General features: G+C 54.9%; 1 protein-coding gene across 36 annotated transcripts in view, besides 1 other annotated feature; it reads right to left on the bottom strand.

Annotated features, from left to right (window-relative positions):
• The window catches only part of TBCD (tubulin folding cofactor D), a 193850-nt gene that overhangs the window by 13904 nt on the left and 160398 nt on the right, over nt 1-19548 (bottom strand). For 33 of the 36 annotated variants that reach the window (NM_005993.5, NM_001411102.1, NM_001437989.1 and 30 more), the window contains 10 exons: nt 11393-11455; nt 10434-10510; nt 8278-8359; nt 6954-7072; nt 5520-5611; nt 4688-4825; nt 4023-4106; nt 2740-2898; nt 2511-2649; nt 1368-1489 (listed from right to left, as the gene is read on the bottom strand). In NM_005993.5, the coding sequence (NP_005984.3) occupies nt 1368-1489; nt 2511-2649; nt 2740-2898; nt 4023-4106; nt 4688-4825; nt 5520-5611; nt 6954-7072; nt 8278-8359; nt 10434-10510; nt 11393-11455 (1075 nt within the window). Of the gene's footprint in view, nt 1-1367; nt 1490-2510; nt 2650-2739; nt 2899-4022; nt 4107-4687; nt 4826-5519; nt 5612-6953; nt 7073-8277; nt 8360-10433; nt 10511-11392; nt 11456-12558; nt 18672-19548 lie in introns of those variants that run through there. The other 3 variants (XM_017024988.2, XM_047436626.1, XM_047436623.1) reach the window with 2 other exon arrangements.
• Nucleotides 10954-12153: an enhancer, noted in NCBI's record as "CDK7 strongly-dependent group 2 enhancer chr17:80877734-80878933 (GRCh37/hg19 assembly coordinates)". NCBI's record gives its function as "activates an origin of replication core promoter dependent on BRD2, BRD4, P300/CBP, MED14 and CDK7 cofactors, with strong dependence on CDK7, by STARR-seq in HCT116 cells {active_cell/tissue: HCT116}" and the evidence as "EXISTENCE:reporter gene assay evidence [ECO:0000049][PMID:35650434]".

Genomic DNA, 19548 nt, shown 5'->3' with positions numbered 1-19548 from the left:
ATCAGACCACAACAGTCAGGGAAGGAGAACAGAAAAAAATGAAGACACTTCTCCAAAGAGAATATAAAACAGCAACGCGCCAGTGAGAGTGACCTCAGACAGCATCAGCAGAAAGACATGACACGTGGGCGTTCTGGAAACCCTCCAGCAGCTTTCCAAAGCTAGACATTCGCCTCTGTGTGAGCCAGCCTGCGGCGCCTCGGTATTTACCCCACAGAAAAGGAGGCTGGGGAGGTCCCCTCTGGGCGACAGGAGCATCAGGAGAGCTTTAGCACAGGCCGACTAACACACAGGAGAGCTGGGCTCCGCAGCCCACAGAGAGGGAGGCCCAGCTGTGCACACCTACCCACAGGCTCGCACACACAGACTGCCTGCAGCTCTACCAGCAACAGCCCCGATGCGGCAACAACCAAAATGCCCACAGACAGATGCACTGTGGTGCCTCCACCAACAGACACGACTGGTCAGCAAGGAGGAATGAGCGAACGGCAAGGCGGAATGAGCGACCGGCACGGAGGAATGAGCGACCGGCACGCGGCCCAGCGCCTCAAGTGACCATGGGCTGAGGCTATGGTGACGCAGGTCAGGGGCACGGACTCGAAGGGCTGGGAGGAAACCTTGGGCTGGAGCCCACCGTCCTGACTGGGGAAGATTTTAAGGGTGGACACCTATCAAAATCGATCGAACTGCCCCTTTATGTGCAGCTGATTATAGTCGTAACGAGAAAAGAAAACATGGCTGGGCCGAGTTCCTGTTTGCCGAGAGCGGCATCTGTGCTCTCATGGGAGAGGCTGCCGAGGCCCCGCCCGAGGGGACACCAGGCCCGTGTCCTCGTCCTCGCACATGCTGGGAACAACCCTTCCAGAGGATGTTCCCAATTCTGAGGTCAAGGCCCACAGGGTCTATACTCTGCCTCCATGTAAAGCCAGAAACTTCTAGAAAGCAGCGATGTTTCTCACTTGACATTCCATCCTCAGGAACACAGAGCTCTCACTTGCCGGGTGGCTGATGAGCGTCCGCAAGCACGTCCGTGGGAGCACCAAGCTGGAGGAGCTCCCACAACGCCTTCCTACACACAGGGACCACCTTGTACTCATACTACCTTTACGTCCATTGTACACACAACGGTCATTTCCCTGCCTCATGTGGAGGCTAGAAGAGGAGGCGCAGGGGCTGAGGCCTGGCCGCCCGGAGAACCATATGCTGCAGGCACATCTTCCTCGCTGAGCCACCAACTGGTACAGCGTGTGTCTCGCTTCTCCCTTCAGACCCCAGACAGACCCTGCGAGACCCCGGGAATCTGTGGGAACGTGGTGAGAGGCACCAGCACCACTCACGCCTCTGAGGCCCCAAGAGACACCACTCACCTCTCATTCAGAAGGTTGTCCTCAAAGATCTGCAGAAGGGTCCCGCTGAAGCTGCCCAGGGCCTGCGGGTCGCTCTGAATGCCCTTCATGTACTCAAAGAGGCTCTGGGTGGAGTGCCGGATCTGCAACACGGAGACACCTCAGAAGGCAGTGGGACCCCCGAGCCTGCCACCCCTCAGGCTTGGCTACAGCCGGTCAAGCATCTGCTGAAGAGCAGAACTGCTCCGAGCTGCAGAGACGCGAAGGTCTGGCCCCAAGCGGCTGGTGCGGACGCCAGCACGGAGCCACTCACAGTGCAGACACCCGAAGCAGACACAAGGCTCTCGGCAACGGCAGCTCAGCCTGAGCCCTCACTTAGGACATGCGGGAGAGCACGTGACGAAAGGCTGCGGCCACTCACCTTGGGTTTCGCTCACGTTTCCCACTGAAGCGGGATTTGATAATCCCCGCAATTCCCGAGTGCAGAATGTCTCGGGGCCCCGCTCGCATGTGGCCCGGGTCTCCCCGCACGCGCCCGCACGGCGCAGAGGGCACCTCACGTCCTGGGGCCCGGGTCTCCCCGCACGCGCCCACACGGCGCAGAGGGCACCTCACGTCCTGTTACGTGTTTTCTAGGACTTAGCAGCTGTCACAGGGTTGCCACATAAAGCAGGTCATGACCCAAGGTGCAGGGGCCACGAGTGACAAGATGCAGAGAGGCCTTCAAGTTCCACAGCTCAGCCACAGACCAAGGCTCTGGAGACCCTCCCCACAGACATGAGAAGCTGGGCCTGGAGCCCTGAAAGTGGAGGGCGGAGGCCGATCTAGAACCTGATGGAGCCCAGGTACCCACATGCAGGCATCAGACACAGGTCCTGGAGGATTGAACCCCGAGGGGACGCTGGGAGCTCCAAGGCTGCGGCCGCAGGAAGAGAGTGGCGCTGGCCCTGTCCCACCTTCATCAGACTCAACCATCCCACAGGCCCTAAGCCTCCTGGGTCATGAGGAAGACACTGGGCCCCTGACCCCCTAACCAAATATGCCCGAGAGAGATAGAAAGCAATGGAAGAAAAGGCCCAGCTCCATACATGCTCCCAAGAGACAGGGAAGCACCAGGCACTCCTGGAGCCACCTCCTGCCCCAGCCAGCCCGACGCCTCCTCACCGTCGACTCCGTCAAGCCGCCCAGGGACACGACTAGCCCCAGCAGGACGTGGTAGCGGTAGGTGGGCAGCCCAAGGAGCTGGGTGATGCGTGGGAAGGCCTGGGAAGGTGCACTCCAGTTCACGGAGGCCACATCGGACCTGCAAGAGAGTGAGTGAGACAAGGCCGGGCTGCCAATGATCTCGCCATGGCTGCGGGGCCAGCACGGGGGGCCTACACCCCGACAGTACCTGGGAAACAGCTTTTCCAGTTCTCCTCGGTGGGGCACGTGGGGGATGGGAGGGCTGTCAAAGTGCAGGAGCGTCAGGAACACGCTGGCGGCGTGAGCACGGAAACGGTCAATCTTCTCACTGGCCTGCTGGGCCACACAGCACATGATGCGCTCACAGCTGCAAACCGAGAGCAGGAGGTAAACCAAGGGCGGGCGGTAAATTAAGAGCGGGCGGTAAACTGAGCACAGGCGGTCCGAGCCGTGACTCCAGCCCAAGCACCACGAGGACATGCGGGCTCCTCGGGACATGGTGGCTGAGTTGGCAGCTGACACCAGGACACTGGCTCGGAAGAACCACACTCCGTTACCTTCACATCCCAGGAGCCCAACCCTACAGGTGCGCAGCAAATACATGCTACGTACTTGTTACACATGTGCTACGTGTTACATGCGTGCTGATGAGGTCTTAGGGTTGAAGCAGGGACAACAAATAGGATTACAGGAGCGGGTGGAGAAGAGTGATGGGGACAGAGAGGCCGGGGATGGGGAGAGAGAAGCTGGGGCTGGGGAAGAGATGGGGAGGGGGAAAGAGAAAGAGGTGAGAACTAAGGAAATCAGGCCCTGGGATCCCCACGGCCGAGTGTCCCTGACAGAGAGACTGACAGCAAGGGCAGGGCCTGGACCCCCATGACTCAGTGCCCCCGACAGAGACCCGCAAGGGCAGGGCCTGGACCCCCTGACTGAGTGCCCCTGACAGAGATCCGCAAGGGCAGGGCCTGGACCTCCATGACTCAGTGCCCCCGACAGAGAGACCGACAGAAAGGGCAGGGCCTGGGGGTACCCACAACCCCGTGCCCCCGACAGAGACACACAGCAAGGGCAGGCCCCAATGGCAGCCTCAGGTGCAGGGAACTGAGTGATGGCTCAGCTGGTCCTGGCAGGAGCAGACCCCCAGGTTCAGGGTCCTAAGCTGAGAAGTCCCCACCTCCTGCCCGGCCCTACCCCGGGAAGCTGGCTGTCATCAAACTGGCCAGAGCACCGTTGGAGGCCCAGGCTGGGGAGCAGAGCCTCGTCCTGGGGGCACTGGGCAGAGGAGGATGGGCCCCAGCTCACGCCATGGCTATGGGGGCAGGAGGAGGGGCCTGCACAAACCTGGGGTCAGGGACCAGAGAGGCTCTCTGGGAGGAGGGTGTGTGCCCAGCAGTGCAAATGCCACTGAGCACCAGGACCGCCCGCCCCGCCAGCCTCCCCAAGCTCGGGGCTGCCCTCTAGGATGCAGAAGAGCTGCGACGTGACACTCACGTATGGGCCTCGATCAGCTCAGGCTGGCTCCGAGCCAGCAGAAGTGTCAGATCCATCAGACTGGTCATGGCGGCCTTGCGGACCCTGATGGGACAAGGAGAGGCAGAGACACCCAGCTTGAGAGGGGGGTTCCAACCCTGGTTCTGCCCACCACGCCGGCAGCCTGTGTGAATTCGACACCCGTGACTAACCCCACACAGAGCCCAGGCACGCTGCCAGGGAGTCACGGGGCCTGCAGAGGTTCCCTGTGCGCTACAGGGACGTGTGCAGGGAGCCACCCACAGCCACACACACCGGGGCCCCGAGGCATCCTACACACACAGGCGTTTCAGGGGTTATCAATCCCACTACAGCAAGAAATGTTGGCAAAACCCAATGTAAGCAGCCGGCAGCCTTTCATTGAAGACGCGTCCTCCCTCACACCCTGTCAACGAGGACGACACAGGCCCAACACCTGAGGACGGGCTGGACAAGCACCTGCAAAGCCCTGCCACGCAGGCTCACCCGGGAGCAGAGAACAGGTCATCTTCCCCAGAGCCTTTAAAACGCAAAACACGGCACAAATCTACAAAGATTTCTCCCTGCAGAAAAGCCCGGGGCCTCCGAGTTTCCACGGAATAGATGGGCTTCTCAGAAGAAGCGCTCACCCACTGCTACGTACGTACCAGGTGCCCACGTCCCCTCTGCTGTCCGTGGTGTAGTCGTCCATGCAGCCCAGCAGCGCACAGTAAATCTGGGAAACATTCTCTCCGCACACAGCTTCGTCTGGGGCTCCTGCTTTCACACCAACAGTCTGGCAAATCCTGAAATTTAAAATGTGTGAGCTAACAAACAAACATCGGTGAGCCTCATCTTCCACATCGCAGAGGGCTGATGTGTGTTCCTGATCCTGAGAAGACACGCTCAGAACAGTCCAGGACCCTCGGGTAGATCAGAAACACAGAGCTCCTTCCACATGTATGGAACGTGGGACGTGCTTCCCCGAGGTCACGCTCTGCCGTCTCTCCGGTTGAAAGGTGGATGGGGACGCCCCCTGCGGCTGGTCCCTCCCACTTCCCACCCTGACTAGAGGGAACGGATGCTGGCATAGGAGAGAAGGGGGCGTGCGTGGCCCCCGCGGGACTGCTCCTCTTGTGTGCCTGCAGGGAGGAGAGGGCATATGGCGTGGCCCCAGGTGCGTGTCTGTCAACGAGTGCAGAGATCATTCCAAACACTGGCTGGCAGGGTCAGCTCCTCTTTGCCAACCTTGGGCCAGGACACATTCTCCAATTCTCCAAGGGGCCCAGTGTCCCTAAAGAAGTTTAACATTCACTACGACTATGACAGCAAGAGAATGAAAGAGCCTCCAGCAGCTGGGACTGACGATCCTCTGGAAGAGAGGAAACCTAGGAAGTGAAGAATCATAAGTCCTGCCTCTGAGCAAAAACATCCCCCTTAGCGTTCATCTGCTGGCCTTTCAGAGACTTACGACTTTAGGGAGGAACTGTTGGGACTCACCTCGCAATGGCCTTCAAGCCGTCTCTCCTGGACTCAGCAAAACTTACGTCCTCGGGGGAAGTGTGGGTAACTGCTCTTAAACCTGTGAGAACCTGGAAAGCAATAAAGAATCACAGAAGAACCATAAGCTATAACAAAGTGCACTCTTTAGGGAGGTGGCAATGTTGGCCCGGAGCCACAGACCCCACACCATGAGATAGGCAGCTCCTGGCACCACCTTCCTCACGGCCATCCATGGCCCCTGGTACAACCCAGGAAGGACACCCGGGGAGAGGTCACCTCCAGCCTCTCCACGGCCCCCAGTACAACCCAGGAAGGACACCCGGGGAGGAGTCACCTCCAGCCTCTCCACGGCCCCCGGTACAACCCAGGAAGGACACCCGGGGAGAGGTCACCTCCAGCCTCTCCACGGCCCCCAGTACAACCCAGGAAGGACACCCGGGGAGAGGTCACCTCCAGCCTCTCCACGGCCCCCAGTACAACCCAGGAAGGACACCCGGGGAGAGGTCACCTCCAGCCTCTCCACGGCCCCCAGTACAACCCAGGAAGGACACCCGGGGAGAGGTCACCTCCAGCCTCTCCACGGCCAGCCCCCACCCCAGGGTGTCACTGGGGGTCTGGCCACACCCTACCTGAGGTCCCCCCCTTTTGTCCTACGCTGAGACCTGGGGTATTGACAAAGGAAGCTGCTGGGTCCCGACAACCTCATCTGTCATATCTCCAAGTGATCCTGTTTCACATTTATCTGTGTTTCAACTGGATAAACCCCCACATGCGAGTTTTAGATGGCATGGCGGCTGCGAGGCCCACCCGCCACACAGGCAGGAGTCCGTCTGGAGCTGCAGATCCTGAAGTGCCAAGGCTGGATCCCATGGGGAGGGAAGGGCGTGGGGAACCCAGTGGCCAGGGCCTATTCCAGCTTCAGACGCCAGGTGGCCGGAGGGGAGACAAGCAGGAGTTCCCGGCAGGTTGGTCAGTGGGACCAGCACCACAGGAAAGCGTGAGAGAGCAGGTCACTGAGGCCAGCGTGGGGCTGACCTCTGGGAGGACGTGGAACCACCTCTGCCCCGACCTGGATGCAGGATGCACGGCCGCAACCAAAACAGGACCCGGCTCCACAACGCACAAAGGCAACTGTGTTCTCCTCACTCTCGGCAGCTGCTTCTACAAACAACACCTTCTCCTCCCTCCCAGAATTCAGCTTTTTCAAGTCTGTCCTCTGACAGCAAAGGGTTCGCCAGGGCCCTAAGGGGCCACAGACCTTGGGTGCCCTCTGCCCCCTTCCTCCTGGCCACAGGTGCCGGTTTCCAGGAACCCCCTCCCAGCTACAAGCACTGATGGGTTTATTAACGGCTGGGCCTACCTCATGCCCCAACACACGAGGCTCCCACACCCTCGCCCTAGGCCCCGTCCACTGCGCGTGGCCAGCCTCACCTGCTGGAGCCGGCCTTTCAGAAGGAAGCCTGGAAGGGCGCCCAAGGCCAACGAGAAGCCACAGCGAGTCATCTCCTCGGGGTTCCGAAGCTCAGCCAGGTACTGCGTGATCAGCTCCTCTGAAAGGAAGCAACGAGTGTGAAGAGAGGCCCTCTGCTGCCCATCGTGTACAGCCACACCCGACGTGTGCCCCAAACAGGAGCAAAGCCACAGTGAACAAAGGAGGAGCCGCCTGAGGTTCCCAAAGCAGACACGTTTCCAAAGTGGCCTACCTCAAAATAGGAATCAGAAAGAGAATTTTTTTTTTGAGAGAGTCTCATTCTGTCACCCAGGCTGGAGTGCCGTGGTGCAAGCTTAGCTCGCTGCAGCCTCAACCCCACACTCAGCCTCCCAAGTAGCTGGGATTACAGGTGTGTGCCACCATGCCAAGCTAATGCATGATTTTTATATACTTATAATAATTTTAAGTGGTGATTCACACACTTTTGACGTGATTAATAATGCATGTTCTATCATATGACATAAAGGAACACTGTGGGCCAACATATGTGCATGTGACACTTTAAAAATAAAAGTACGATTCATGAAGCAGATCCCTCGAACATGATGTGCGAGAAGCAAGCCTGAACTTCAGCACGGGGGTGCAGGATGTACAGTGAGGCGGCACAGCAGCTACGCACGGGACACGGCGTAAAGCCAGCCTAATGCTACTTTCATAAAGAAGGAAAAAACAGCAAAATGTATTAACGAGTGAAACACACAGCAGAAAAATGTCACGGTGCATACAAAAATTCTAAAAACACTGACCGAGTGCAGTGGCTCACACCTGTAATCCCAGAACTTTGGGAGGCTGAGGCAGGTGGATCACCTGAGGTCAGGAGTTCGATTCCAGCCTGGCCAATGCAGTAAAACCCCGTCTCTACTAAAAATACAAAAATTAGCCGGGTATGGTGGCAGGCACCTGTAGTCCCACCTACTCAGGAGGCTGAGGCACAAGAATTGCTTGAACTCAGGAGGCAGAGGTTGCAGTGAGCCGAATCACGCCACACCACTCCAGCCTGGGTGATGGAGCAAGAGGGTGCCGTCAACAGAGACGCGTCCCTGCTGAGCCACCTGTTCAGAGCTGATGCAACATCCTGGGCAGCTGCAGGACCTGCCCACAGCTCCTCGGCTGGGAACCTGAGACCCGAACAGTCCCACTCCAGCCATGATCGTGGTGGCTCTGCTCCACTGCACAACCGAGGCCTCCTCCGTGCCCAGACACTCCCCAGCAGCTTCCTGCTGGAAGCCCCTGGAGTCTTCAAGAAAAGGGCTCCCCACTCACCCTGAATTGCGGGATCTGCCTCCCCCGGCTCCTTCATGTAATATTCACTGCATAGAGCAGCCAGGGCCGAGACTGCTGCATCCTAAAACAAAGGCAGCACGGTGAGCGCACAGCAGCTCTGCTCGGAGAAGCCCCCGGCCAGGGACAGAGCAGGTCACTCTGAAGTCGGAGAAGCACCTGACCAGGGACACCGTGGTCACCCTGAGGTCAGAGCAGCCCCTGCCTGACCAGGGACCCAGCGGGTCGCCCTGAGGTTGGAGAAGCACCCGGCCAAGGACACAGCAGGTCACCCTTGAGGTCAGAGAAGGACCTGACCAGGGACACAGCGGGTCACCCTGAGATCTCGGCACAGCAATGACTTTCGAACCAAACCAAAAGAACCCCTAAGTCATGCTACTCCTTTCCAGCACGCCTGCTCACCATCATCTGTCAGATACACGCATCACTTTACTACCACTACAACTAAGAAACTGAATGGATAACCTGATTATTCCTTCCACAATGTCTGTCTTCTAATATGGAACAATAATAAAATGGAGCATATTTTTCTTTCCCAGAAATAGTTATGAAGAAAAAGGCATACACTATGCACCCAGAGTAACGGGGCAGGGCCTTCAGGCCAAGCCACGTCAGCCTCATTTAGAGAGACAGGGCTCCGGGGGCGCACTGGGAACAGGAGTTGGGGCCGGACAGCAGGAGACCCCCGGGAACCCATCCCAAGGCCACCAGGAACCGTGGTGGGAGGGACGGCAATTGCTGCACAGAGCAGGAGCGGGCAGAGAGTCACCAGTCCCGCCGCGTGCGGGGCTCAGTGCCACTGTCTCCTCGAACCCCCACCTCTGCCACCTACGGAGGAGCCTCTCGTGACCACACAGCCAGCAAGTGGCAAACACCAAACCCACGTGTTCTTTCCACCGCTCCCCCGAAGCCCAGGAGCCGAGGCCAACAGAGCAGCCTTGGAGAGGCACTGGGGGCGGGGCAGGTGGGGGCCATGAGCAGAGGAGGTGCGTCGTCTACAGGGTGCTGCATTCCACGAGTCACCACCTGTGCCAATCCCAGGGGCAAAGTGCACCAGCATCATGGCCAGTGTGAATTAATCATGGACTTTTGAAATAAAATTTTGAGGCACTGATCATGATGCATTCAAATTCAATTAGTAGAACGGTACTTGGATCCTACAGAATGTTCAAGTTCCTTAAGAAAAAAAAAATAAGAAAATTGAAGATGCTAAGGAAAAAGAAATGCTAAGCATGGAGGAAGTCAGAGAATTACAAGACACCTAAATGTACTTCCATTCTTCATCCTCAATATCAAAACCTAGTCAACGTTGGTAACCATGGTTTTTTTTGTTTTTGTTTTTGTTTTTGTTTTTGAGGCAGGGTCTTGCTCTTGTCACCCAGGCTGGAGTGCAATGGCGTGATCTCGGTTCACTGCAACCTTCGCCTCCCAAGTTCAAGCAATTCTCCTGCCTCAGCCTCTTGAGTAGCTGGGATTACAGGCACGCGCCACCTCGCCCCGCTAATTTTTGTATTTTTAGTAGAGATGGGGTTTCACCATGTTGGCCAGGCTGGCCTCGAACTCCTGACCTCAAGTGATCCACCCGCCACTGCGCCGGGCCCATGGTTTCTTATCTATGCAATGAGATCAGCGTTACAGCTCTGTGAGTCCAAAGTCCACCTGTAACCCCCAGGACGGGAGGGGAGGGCAGGTGGCCGGGGACACACACACACACTGGCACCCACACAACATGACCAGGTCAATGTGTGCGAGCAGAGGTCCTGGGGTGCTGTTTTCTCATCTGCACAGGAGCATCATAAAGGGAGTTTCCAAACCTCAGATCCTACAGGACACGGAACTCAACAGAGCACAGTTACTATTGATGCAGAAAAAGTATTTCAAAGGTAACTATAATTAAAACAGCCAGAAGCAATAAAAAATTAAACATTCGGATTCCAATGGCTGTATTGGATTTTCTGGTTATAAACCGTGTAGACGCTACCATCCGGGATTCCAAATAGAATTATGCCCCCATTTGTCAGTTATCAGGCTACTGCAGGGACAGCCTCATGATGCACAGTCGCCAACACAAACACCATCCGTGACTAACACACTAACACCGCCACAGCGCCGGCCGGGAACGCCCATGCTCACTGTACCTTCATCTGCTGGCGGGAGTGACTTGAGATGAGATGGAGATGTCTCAAAGTGTCATTTATCAGCCATTGCCAACCATCTGTCAAAAAATCAAGTTAGCGTACCCAGGCAATCAAAAACACCATGAAATCAAAAACAACAGCAAAAACAGCTTCTATTAATACTAATCTTAAAGTCGATGGTAACCTTTGAGAGGAATCTGTGGAAAAGCCAAAGTGAACATTCTCCACGTTGTGTTAAGTCTAAGGCCCCTTCCTCTCATGGCTGTTAAATTGTGTAAGCTCTTATTGAGGGAAATACCAGCATTCTGTAAATTTTTATACATCACATTTTGGGAAACTTTTATTCTTTTGTTACCCCTAAATCTTTTCCTTCAAACGGTCTCCCCCGGCTCCCACCAATATAAACCCAAATCTTTAACTCAATTAGATCCTGCACAAGCAACAAATGTGAAGGCTATTCAATTAACAAAAAAAAAGTCCTAACTTCTGAGGCTGCTGAGACAGCCCCGGGACACCACAGCCCTGGGGGCTCCCTTCACTGTGCTCTGGCAGCCCAGTGTGGGGGGCTGCTGAGGAACTGGAGCCGCCTCTGCCCACAGGGTCCGTGGTGTCGGCGGCCGGCACGCTCCTGGTCCACGAGGGCCTGGGTGGCTGCAGCTCCCGACTGTCTGCCTGGGAGAAGAACTGACCCAGAGTGCCGGGCCCTGGGCATGGAAGCGAGGAGGTGGGGGTACTGAGGTGACGGCGGGGAAGGGCCCTCCTGTGTTGGGGGGAGAGGGCGGTGGGTACCCATTATTTAAGCAGGTTCTTGTAACAACTTCAAGGCAACGTATCCGATTAATATCTTGAACCTTTAAGCTATAATCGTTTATCGCCCCCATCCTAACAGGTTCATTTTTACCTTTTAATCTGAAGTCATTCTGTAAGAAAATGCTATTATTAAAAACAAAAGCACTTACCAATTACGGTGTCACCTCTAAAGGGCATTTTGGAAAGTGACAACTTTTCTATTAAAACACACACTGGAAAAAAAAAAAAAAAGGATAGACGCAATGTTACTTTTCTAAAAGCGCCTGCCACAGCGGCTTGCCTTTGCCACATTCTGAGTTGTGTGCGGCCAGCTCCTGCCCCTCACCCGCCCAACCTACCCTGCTGCCAGGGCTGGAAACATCCCAGAACCATTTCAGAACCACCATGAGAAGCCCAAGACGCCTCCTCCGCTGAGCAGCCTGAAGAAAGTGCTGCAGACCCAGCCACGTGGCAGAAGGCCCATGTGTGAGCCCACGTGCACTTCAGAGAAGCCGGGCCGGCCTGTCAGGGAGCTGCAGACGTCCCTGTGACAGGCTGTACGGGAAGCATAGCGGCTTCTGCTCCTAGACCTGTCACTCAGGACCCAAGCGACAGACAGCCATCACCTGCAATGCTCCAGACCACAGGTCATGCCTGTCACTTCCCCACATAGCTCGTCACTCACACTCTCCATGACCAGAAACGTGGCCCTGACCAGCCACGAGGGGGCCAGGACGCACGAGACAGAGACGACTGGACAGCATCAGCAGCTCCCACGGCCACACACTGCTCTAGCTCCCACCGTCTCTACCTAACAACGGAACCCACTCGCAGACGCCTGCTGCACACTTGTTCATGGTATTTGCTATTTCTCCTGAGGGACTAAACTCTCCTTCCATTTTTTGTCACCGTGAACAAGGAGGCCTGACCGTGCTACAGATGCGGAGGCCGTCGGTCCACCTGGCGTCCCTGCACACAGGACAGGGACCACACACACACTTCCCATCGTCACAGATACTGCCACTCATCAAACTGAACAGACCAGACAACTCCTGTTCCACGAGAGACCCTGCTCTGTGTCTGTCAGCACCAAGATTCTTCAGTGCCAACCGCAGCCGACTGGAAAGAGGAAAACGGTCCTCTCGATGTGAAGTAACCTGGTACTTCCATGCCTCCGAGGTGAGGCCGGCACCCTCACCGTCCACGGCCACGTGAGTCTGCTCCTCTTCTGCATGAAATGCCCACACGTCTGCTCTGCCCCATTTCATACTGGATCCTTTACCTCGTCACAGGCAGTTTTACAATTTAGTCTTTGTACACTAATTAACTTTTTACCTTTTCGACTGTAGAACAGACGTTTATTCTCAATCTCCGTTTTCCCTACCAACCTACACATGGTCTATTCTTCAATATAAGGCCCAACATAATTATCTCCTTTTGTTTCTACCTTGTGGAATTATTATGATAAAATCTGTTAGCTGGGGATTACATGCCAAGAGGGGGGAAACAAAAAGAAACAAAAAACCCCAGAAAACCAGTTCTTACCACAAGTTAGAAAAACCCAGCGAGGGGCTGCTGGGACCTGACATTCAGGGTCTTCTTTAAACTCAGAGGAGGGGAGGAGAAAGGAAGCGCCGGGCGAGACTCTGGGCCCCCCCCGTAAACTACTTCTCTTTACTTCTGCGCAGATTTGAAAATTTCTAAACTAAGAAGTTTTCTTCAGAGACTGACACTGTCCTACAACGTCTCCTAAAATTTCTTCGAGGATTTTTATGATGGTAGTTTTTATGCGTAAGTTATTAGTTACTCTCACATTTAGTTTTAGATACGACTTTACCTTCTTCCACGTGGGCACCTGTGACACCATCACTCACTCAAGTGACACGCCTTTGTCCCAGCGCGAATCCTTTCAGCTCTGAACAGAGTACTGCTCTGATGTGTGTTGAGGACTGGGAAATGAAAGTCTTAACTAGTTTTTAAAATAATTTTCTTGGAGATGCACCTGCATGTGAACTTTAAATGTATTTTATAATCAAGTTAAAAACGGCACGCGCGGCTCAGCGGTGCCTCAGCCTCTCACGAAACGGCACGCGGGGCTCAGCGGTGGAATGAAGCGGTGCCTCAGCCTCTCACGAAACGGCACACGGGACTCAGTGGTAGACATGAAAAGGCTTGTACCCACATCTCGCACAGGAATATTCCTGGCAACCTTGTTCACAACAGCAACAGATAGAAATAGCCCCAGTGTACTCTACTGAGTGCTGGTCGAACACACTCTGGTAAAACCCAACCGTGGGCTAGGAAGGCACAAACTGTGAACACATGGACAGCTGGATGGGGTCTCGGCACCACGCTCACAGAAAATGCCCACCTCGAAATGCCACGACCATACGAGTCGATCATGGCATATTCTAGAAGGGACAGACTGGTGGCAGGGGGGCAGGGTGAGAATGCAAAGGGCAGGGGCTGTCTCTGTGGGAAGGATGCAGGTTTCTGATTTGAGTGTGGAGTTAGTTACAGAAATCTACACAGGGCATCAATCTGCACGAAACTAGACACACATGGCCACTCCACACACACATGAAGCCACGAAACCGCACAGGCCTGCAGTCCAGTTAGAGGCAGGGCCTCGACACCGCAGTCCCGGCTCCAACACTGTCATACCCGGAGTCACCGCGGAGGAAGCATGGGAAGCACAGCCAGGCTCTATTACTAATCTCATAACTTCCTGTAAGTCTATAATTATTTCGAAATGAAGAATATTTTTTAAAAACTAACAGACTAGATAACGCAGACCAACCCTCCACTAAGACATTTTTAAAAGCCAGACAAAATGAAAACACACAGGAAGTGCCTGCAGTTACCAGAGAGCTCACGAAGACCTGAGAGGGACAGAGCGGCGGGGGCCAACTCTCCCCGGCTCACGGCTGACTCCAGGGGGCGCCACAAGAACCAGAAACCCCCAACAGTGCATCCAGGAGCATCTCCAGCTAGCAGGAGAACGGGAGTCCAGGATGACCAAAGGGAGAAGCGGTAGAGCCCTCACCACAGGCTCTGAACCCAGAGGACCACACCTAGAAATAGGTGTAAAACGTGGGCCAGCCCAGCACGGACCCCTCCTACGTCCCAAAACCCAATGGAGGTGACCCCGACAGCAAGCACCCGCCTCCCGTCAAGAGCCAACATCAAGTCTCTCTGGGAGAGGAGAACATTGCAGACCTCAAAGCATTTCTGTCATGTCTTGTTCCTGCAGCTTGGTGGAGATGCTTTTCATGTATGATATACCGTCCTTCAGAAACAGCCACAGAGGCTCCAGATGATGACATTAAACAAAGATTTTAAACCATGCTTAATATGTTCCAGGATGTGAAAAAAATGAAAACTATAAAAAATAAGTTCTGAAAAATAAAAAAATTCAAGGATGCGTTTAACGGCAGATAAGGCACACCTGAAAGAATTTGTGACAATGAAATTTAAATCAAAGAAAATGTTCCTGTAATCCCAGCACTTTGGGAGGCCAAGGTGAGCAGATCACAAGGTCAAGAGATCGAGACCAGCCTGGCCAACGTGGTGAAACCCCATCTCTACAAAAAATACAAAAATTAGCTGGGTGTGGTGGCGCATGCCTGTAGTCCCAGCTACTCAGGAGGCTGAAGCAGGAAAATCGCTTAATCCCGGGAGGCGGAGGTTGCAGTGAGCTGAGATTGTGCCACCGCACTCCAGCCTGGTGACAGAGCAAGACTCCAACTCAAAAAAAAAAAAAAGAAAAGAAAAGAAAAAAAAAAGTCCAAACTGAATAAGACAAAACCAGAGGAGGGAGTGTAAGGAGGCGTAAAGAATTAAGTGCGGTGATCCAGACAAGACGTGGGTAATAAGAGTCCCAAAAGGAGAGGAGAGGCCAGTGAGCAATGTTCAAAGAGATCATGGCTAGGAATTTTTCTAAAGTGAACAAAACATCGACAGAAAATACAGATTATGGAACAAGTATGAACCCTAGAGCCCCAAGTCAGATAAACACAAAGGGAACTTGTTCTAGGAATATCACGGTAAAAGTGCTGAAAACCAAATAAAGATAAAAATCTCAAAAGAAGCCAGCGAAACTTAAAAGATTGTCTCCAATACAGTAATAAGTAGACTGGCAGCTAACCTCTCCAGAAGACAAGAGACTATTATCTTTAAAGTGCCAAAACACAAACGAATGAATAAATGCAAACTAAAGTTTCATTCTTAGCAAAAATAACCTTTAAGAATCAAAGTGGGGAAAAAAAAAAAAACAGCACCTTTGGGAGGCCGAGGTGGGTGGATCACCTGAGGTCAGGAGTTCAAGACCAGCCTGGCCCACATGGTGGAACCCCATCTCCACTAAAAATACAAAAATTAGCCTGCCACGGTGGCGCATGCCTGTAATCCCAGCTACTCGGGAGGCTGAGGCGGGAGAAACACTTGAACCTGGGAGATGGAGGCTGCAGTGAGCCGAGATCGCGCCACTGTGACTCCAGCCTGAGCAACAAGAGTGAATGAGACTCCGTCTCAAAAAAAAAAAGTGGAAAAAGCCATTTTGGTATAAACAAACGAGAGGGTGCCACCAGCAGACACACACTATGGAAAACACTAGAGTGTTCTCCAGGCAAAGAGAAAATGGTCCTCTTAGAAGGTGAGAAATGCAGGACAGAACAAGAAGGAGAAGCAGCAGGTGGCTGTGTGGGTAAATCCCAGTGAATTCCCACGGAACAAGAAAGAGAACAGGGTATCTGTACAGGTAAATCCGAATGAACTCCTGTGTGATTTAAGATACAGGTAAAAGCGAAAGGCACGACAGCACCGGCCATGTCTCTGCTGAGGGGACAGGGGAGGTGGCAGGTGTGTACAGGGCATCAGAGATGGAGCACGGAGCCCTCACCCCCACAGCAGGAAGTCCATTAACAGCGTGTCCCCGGCTTGCTAAGTCACGATCCTCCACACACCTGTGGCCGACTCAAGGCTCACCAGTCCCTCTGGTTTCCCTCCCGTCTTCGGCATGAGAGGAGAACTTTTCCTGATTCTCGTGACGCCTCTGGTGCAAGGCTGTGAGCCAGATGACCCCCTTCCTCCCGGCCCCTGCCCTCGGTGATCCACATGTGAGCAGGATAAAAAAACACCTGTGGTTTTAAGACACTGAAACTTGGGGATTGTTTCAAGAGCAAAACGCAGTCCACCCTGACTGACAAACCCCTCCTTCATCGCTGCTTCACTAAACAGAGTTCCTGTTTCTTTCCTTTGATTCTAAAGCATGAAATGCAAGAGCCACTGAGACTAAGACGGAGACAAGGGGACGCTCATCTTCCTGGCACCGGGGGAAGCAGCTCAGTTCAGGCCACGCTGAGGACATCCAGGATGTTCATCTCCTCTCGTGAATATTCACGACAAAGGCCAACCTGTATGACATTTCTTTGATATGGGGACGCAGACGACTCCCAAGGGTTGAGCCACTTTTCCCACAAAATGTGCAAAAAACGTCTGAAGAAATCTGCGGTTCGACACCTCCGGGGCACCTGCGGCCAGGGCGCACCTGATGCTCCTGCGGGCGGCATGTCACCGACATGCCGGCGTCCTCGGGGGTAAGGGCGCCATCCTCTGGCCTGGGTGAGAAAGTGACCAGCAGCCCCTCCCCGTCTCCCACATGTAGCCCGTGAACCCGCAGATTTCTCACCCCGACAAGAGCTTGGAGTCTTGTCTCACTTGAAAGAACACATCTAAAACTAAGGATATCAGGAAACAGCTGCGTACATACAGAACTCAGAAATACAGAAGCAAGGAAAACAGACAGCTAAAAAACTGAAAGGGTTGCCTTTGGAAAAATAAAAATGTGGGACTGGGAGATGCGGGGCCAAGACCACAGACGCTATGCAGAACTATTTCCCCTTCTGAACTATTCCTACTTGAAAGCTGAAAGGGAAAATAATTTCCTACGAAGTGTAAAAATGAACGAGGAGGAGAAAAAAACCTGAGTTGACACCAAGGCTCAGTCAGGATCACCAGGGACACAGCCGGCTTCAGAGCCTGCAGGCCAGAGTCTCCTGGGGCCAGCAAAGGCCATGGAGGGGAAGGAGCTGCACAAGGAGGGCCGGCGCCGGGAGCTGAGGTCACGGCTGGGGAGTGCAGGCAGCCAAGGGGCCCCCAGGGAGGGCGTGGGCAGCATGGGCAGCTTTCCACGGGACACGCCCGCCACGGTGCGAGGCGACATGTGCAGGAGTGCCGCGTTTGCACTCAGCGGTGTGAGGGAGTGCAAACACCGCACTCCAGCAAACACACTCATGGTGCAGACACAGCTGGAGGCCGGCAGGGGGCCCAGAGCAGGGATGCCTCCCATAAAGATGCCCTTCTCCACGATGCCCCCCAGCAATCCACACCCTGCCGTGAACCCTGAGGGATGCATCCCAACAGCACACGTGCCCCAGAGCAGAGGGCAGGGTGGGAAAGCTGGAGTTGGGGGTAGAGAGAGGCAGACAGAAACCACCCTGCACCCAGCACCCCCAACAACAGACCACAGCCCTCCACCATCCTTCAGAGCAGAGCACCGAGAACCCGGATGGCGTGAAGACGCCAAACACCGAAACCGCGGTAAGGGCGCCTTTTTAAAACCCGGACGAAGCACATCAGTGTTTAGGTTCCACGGTTACTTGTGCAGCCTGCAGTGCCTGCCAGCGGGGAGCAGTGGGTGTGGTGGGTGAGGAAGGGACAGGACAGGGTGGCTACTTTGTCTCAAGTCTTTCCAAATATCATCATCAAAAAGCCCAACTAGAACCCACAACATTCCCCCTCTCCCCGCTAAGTGCAAATGCAGCCTCACGCCCAGGGAGGGCACGTCGCGTGGAAAGCTGCCCACGACAACCACACGGAGGCTCCAGGACCTGCGGTTTTTCCATGGTTTCCTCCTGAGCTCGTGACAATTCTGCCCATCATGGGTAGGTGGCAGCAATGCACAGGCCAACGGTGCCCTGCGGCCAACAGCGGCCAACGCCCAGCAGGACCCCTAAGGGGCGGTCACTCTGGAGCCTGGGGGACATCAATGTGGCTGCCCTAACCACACATTCAAGAAGAAGAGCAGATTACAGAGCAGCACCTCCCCAATGGGCCCCGCTTCACGGAGCAGGAGGGTAAAGGAAATTCAGCCAAAATGGCGTCCTGGGGACTCGGAACGCATTCAACTCCATCGCCGCCAGCTACAGGGACTCGGAACGCCTTCAACTCCGTCACCACCGGCCACGGGGATTCGGAACGCCTTCAACTCCATCACCGCCAGCCACGGGGACTCCAAACGCCTTCAACTCTGTCGCCGCCGGCCACGGGGACTCGGAACACCTTCAACTCCGTCGTTGGCCAAAGGGATTCGGAACGCCTTTAACTCCCCCCTTTCATGGTGGGCAGTGGCTCCTGTGCAGACTTACTGCTCAAACACCAAGAGCGACCCTAAAAGCAGACCCCGCAGCACACGGGGAGCACGTGAAGGTCGTGTGAAGGTCGTAGGACTGCCTCCAACTGCCATCTCCAGGGCACGACCCGTGTCGTGGGTGGGAAGTGGGGGACATTGAACCCTTCTGAGAGCACTCGACACCCCACTCCATCCCAAGCCAAACTCCTAGATCCAGAAACGGCTTACAGGTCACCAGCTGTCCATGACATGTGGGGGATGGTCTTGATCCCACTAAGGAGGCAACTCCGGGCACCCATGGGTACGTCGGAAAGGTGACACCCCTGCACCGTGTGCTCTGGAGGCATCTGAGGGACAATGACCAAGTCTACATCCAAAACATGACACACCGGTCTTAGCCAACAGGGACCACCTGCAGAACTGGCAGTCCCATGCCTCTGACGTCAGCTGACAGAAACTGGCTCACGTTTCTAGGATTGACTTTCCCGTGACGTCCATCAGACTCATGAGAACACTGAGCTAACACCAGCAGAAATGCAAGCTGGCTGCTCTCAGTACAGAAGCCCGGCCAGCCTGGCTGGAGATAGATGGCTGCAGGCCTCGGGCAGGTCCCTATCAGGTCAGGGCTGGGAGGTGTGGACAGAAAGCACAAGAGGCTGGTACAGCCCTGACATCCGGCCGTGGGTTCCCCGAATCCCAGCCTGCTCTCCTCTGCTCAGACCACGCAGACCTCAGCAAAAGTCTGCACACAACCGCGATTTTTCCAAGCTTCCTCACCAGCTGTGCCTCCACACTCACACTCACAGTCCCACAGCGAGGGGCTGAGGGTGGCGTGGGATGGGCTGTCCACAACAGCAGGGCCCCAGGAGCTGTGTCGGGGAATCCAGCTCCCTGGACCTTGGGGTCGGCTGCTGC

Source organism: Homo sapiens, chromosome 17 (genome assembly GCF_000001405.40).
Source record: "Homo sapiens chromosome 17, GRCh38.p14 Primary Assembly".
NCBI lineage: Eukaryota > Metazoa > Chordata > Mammalia > Primates > Hominidae > Homo > Homo sapiens.
The sequence above is the reverse complement of the archived record's forward strand: the minus strand, read 5'-3'. Positions and strand labels throughout refer to the sequence as shown.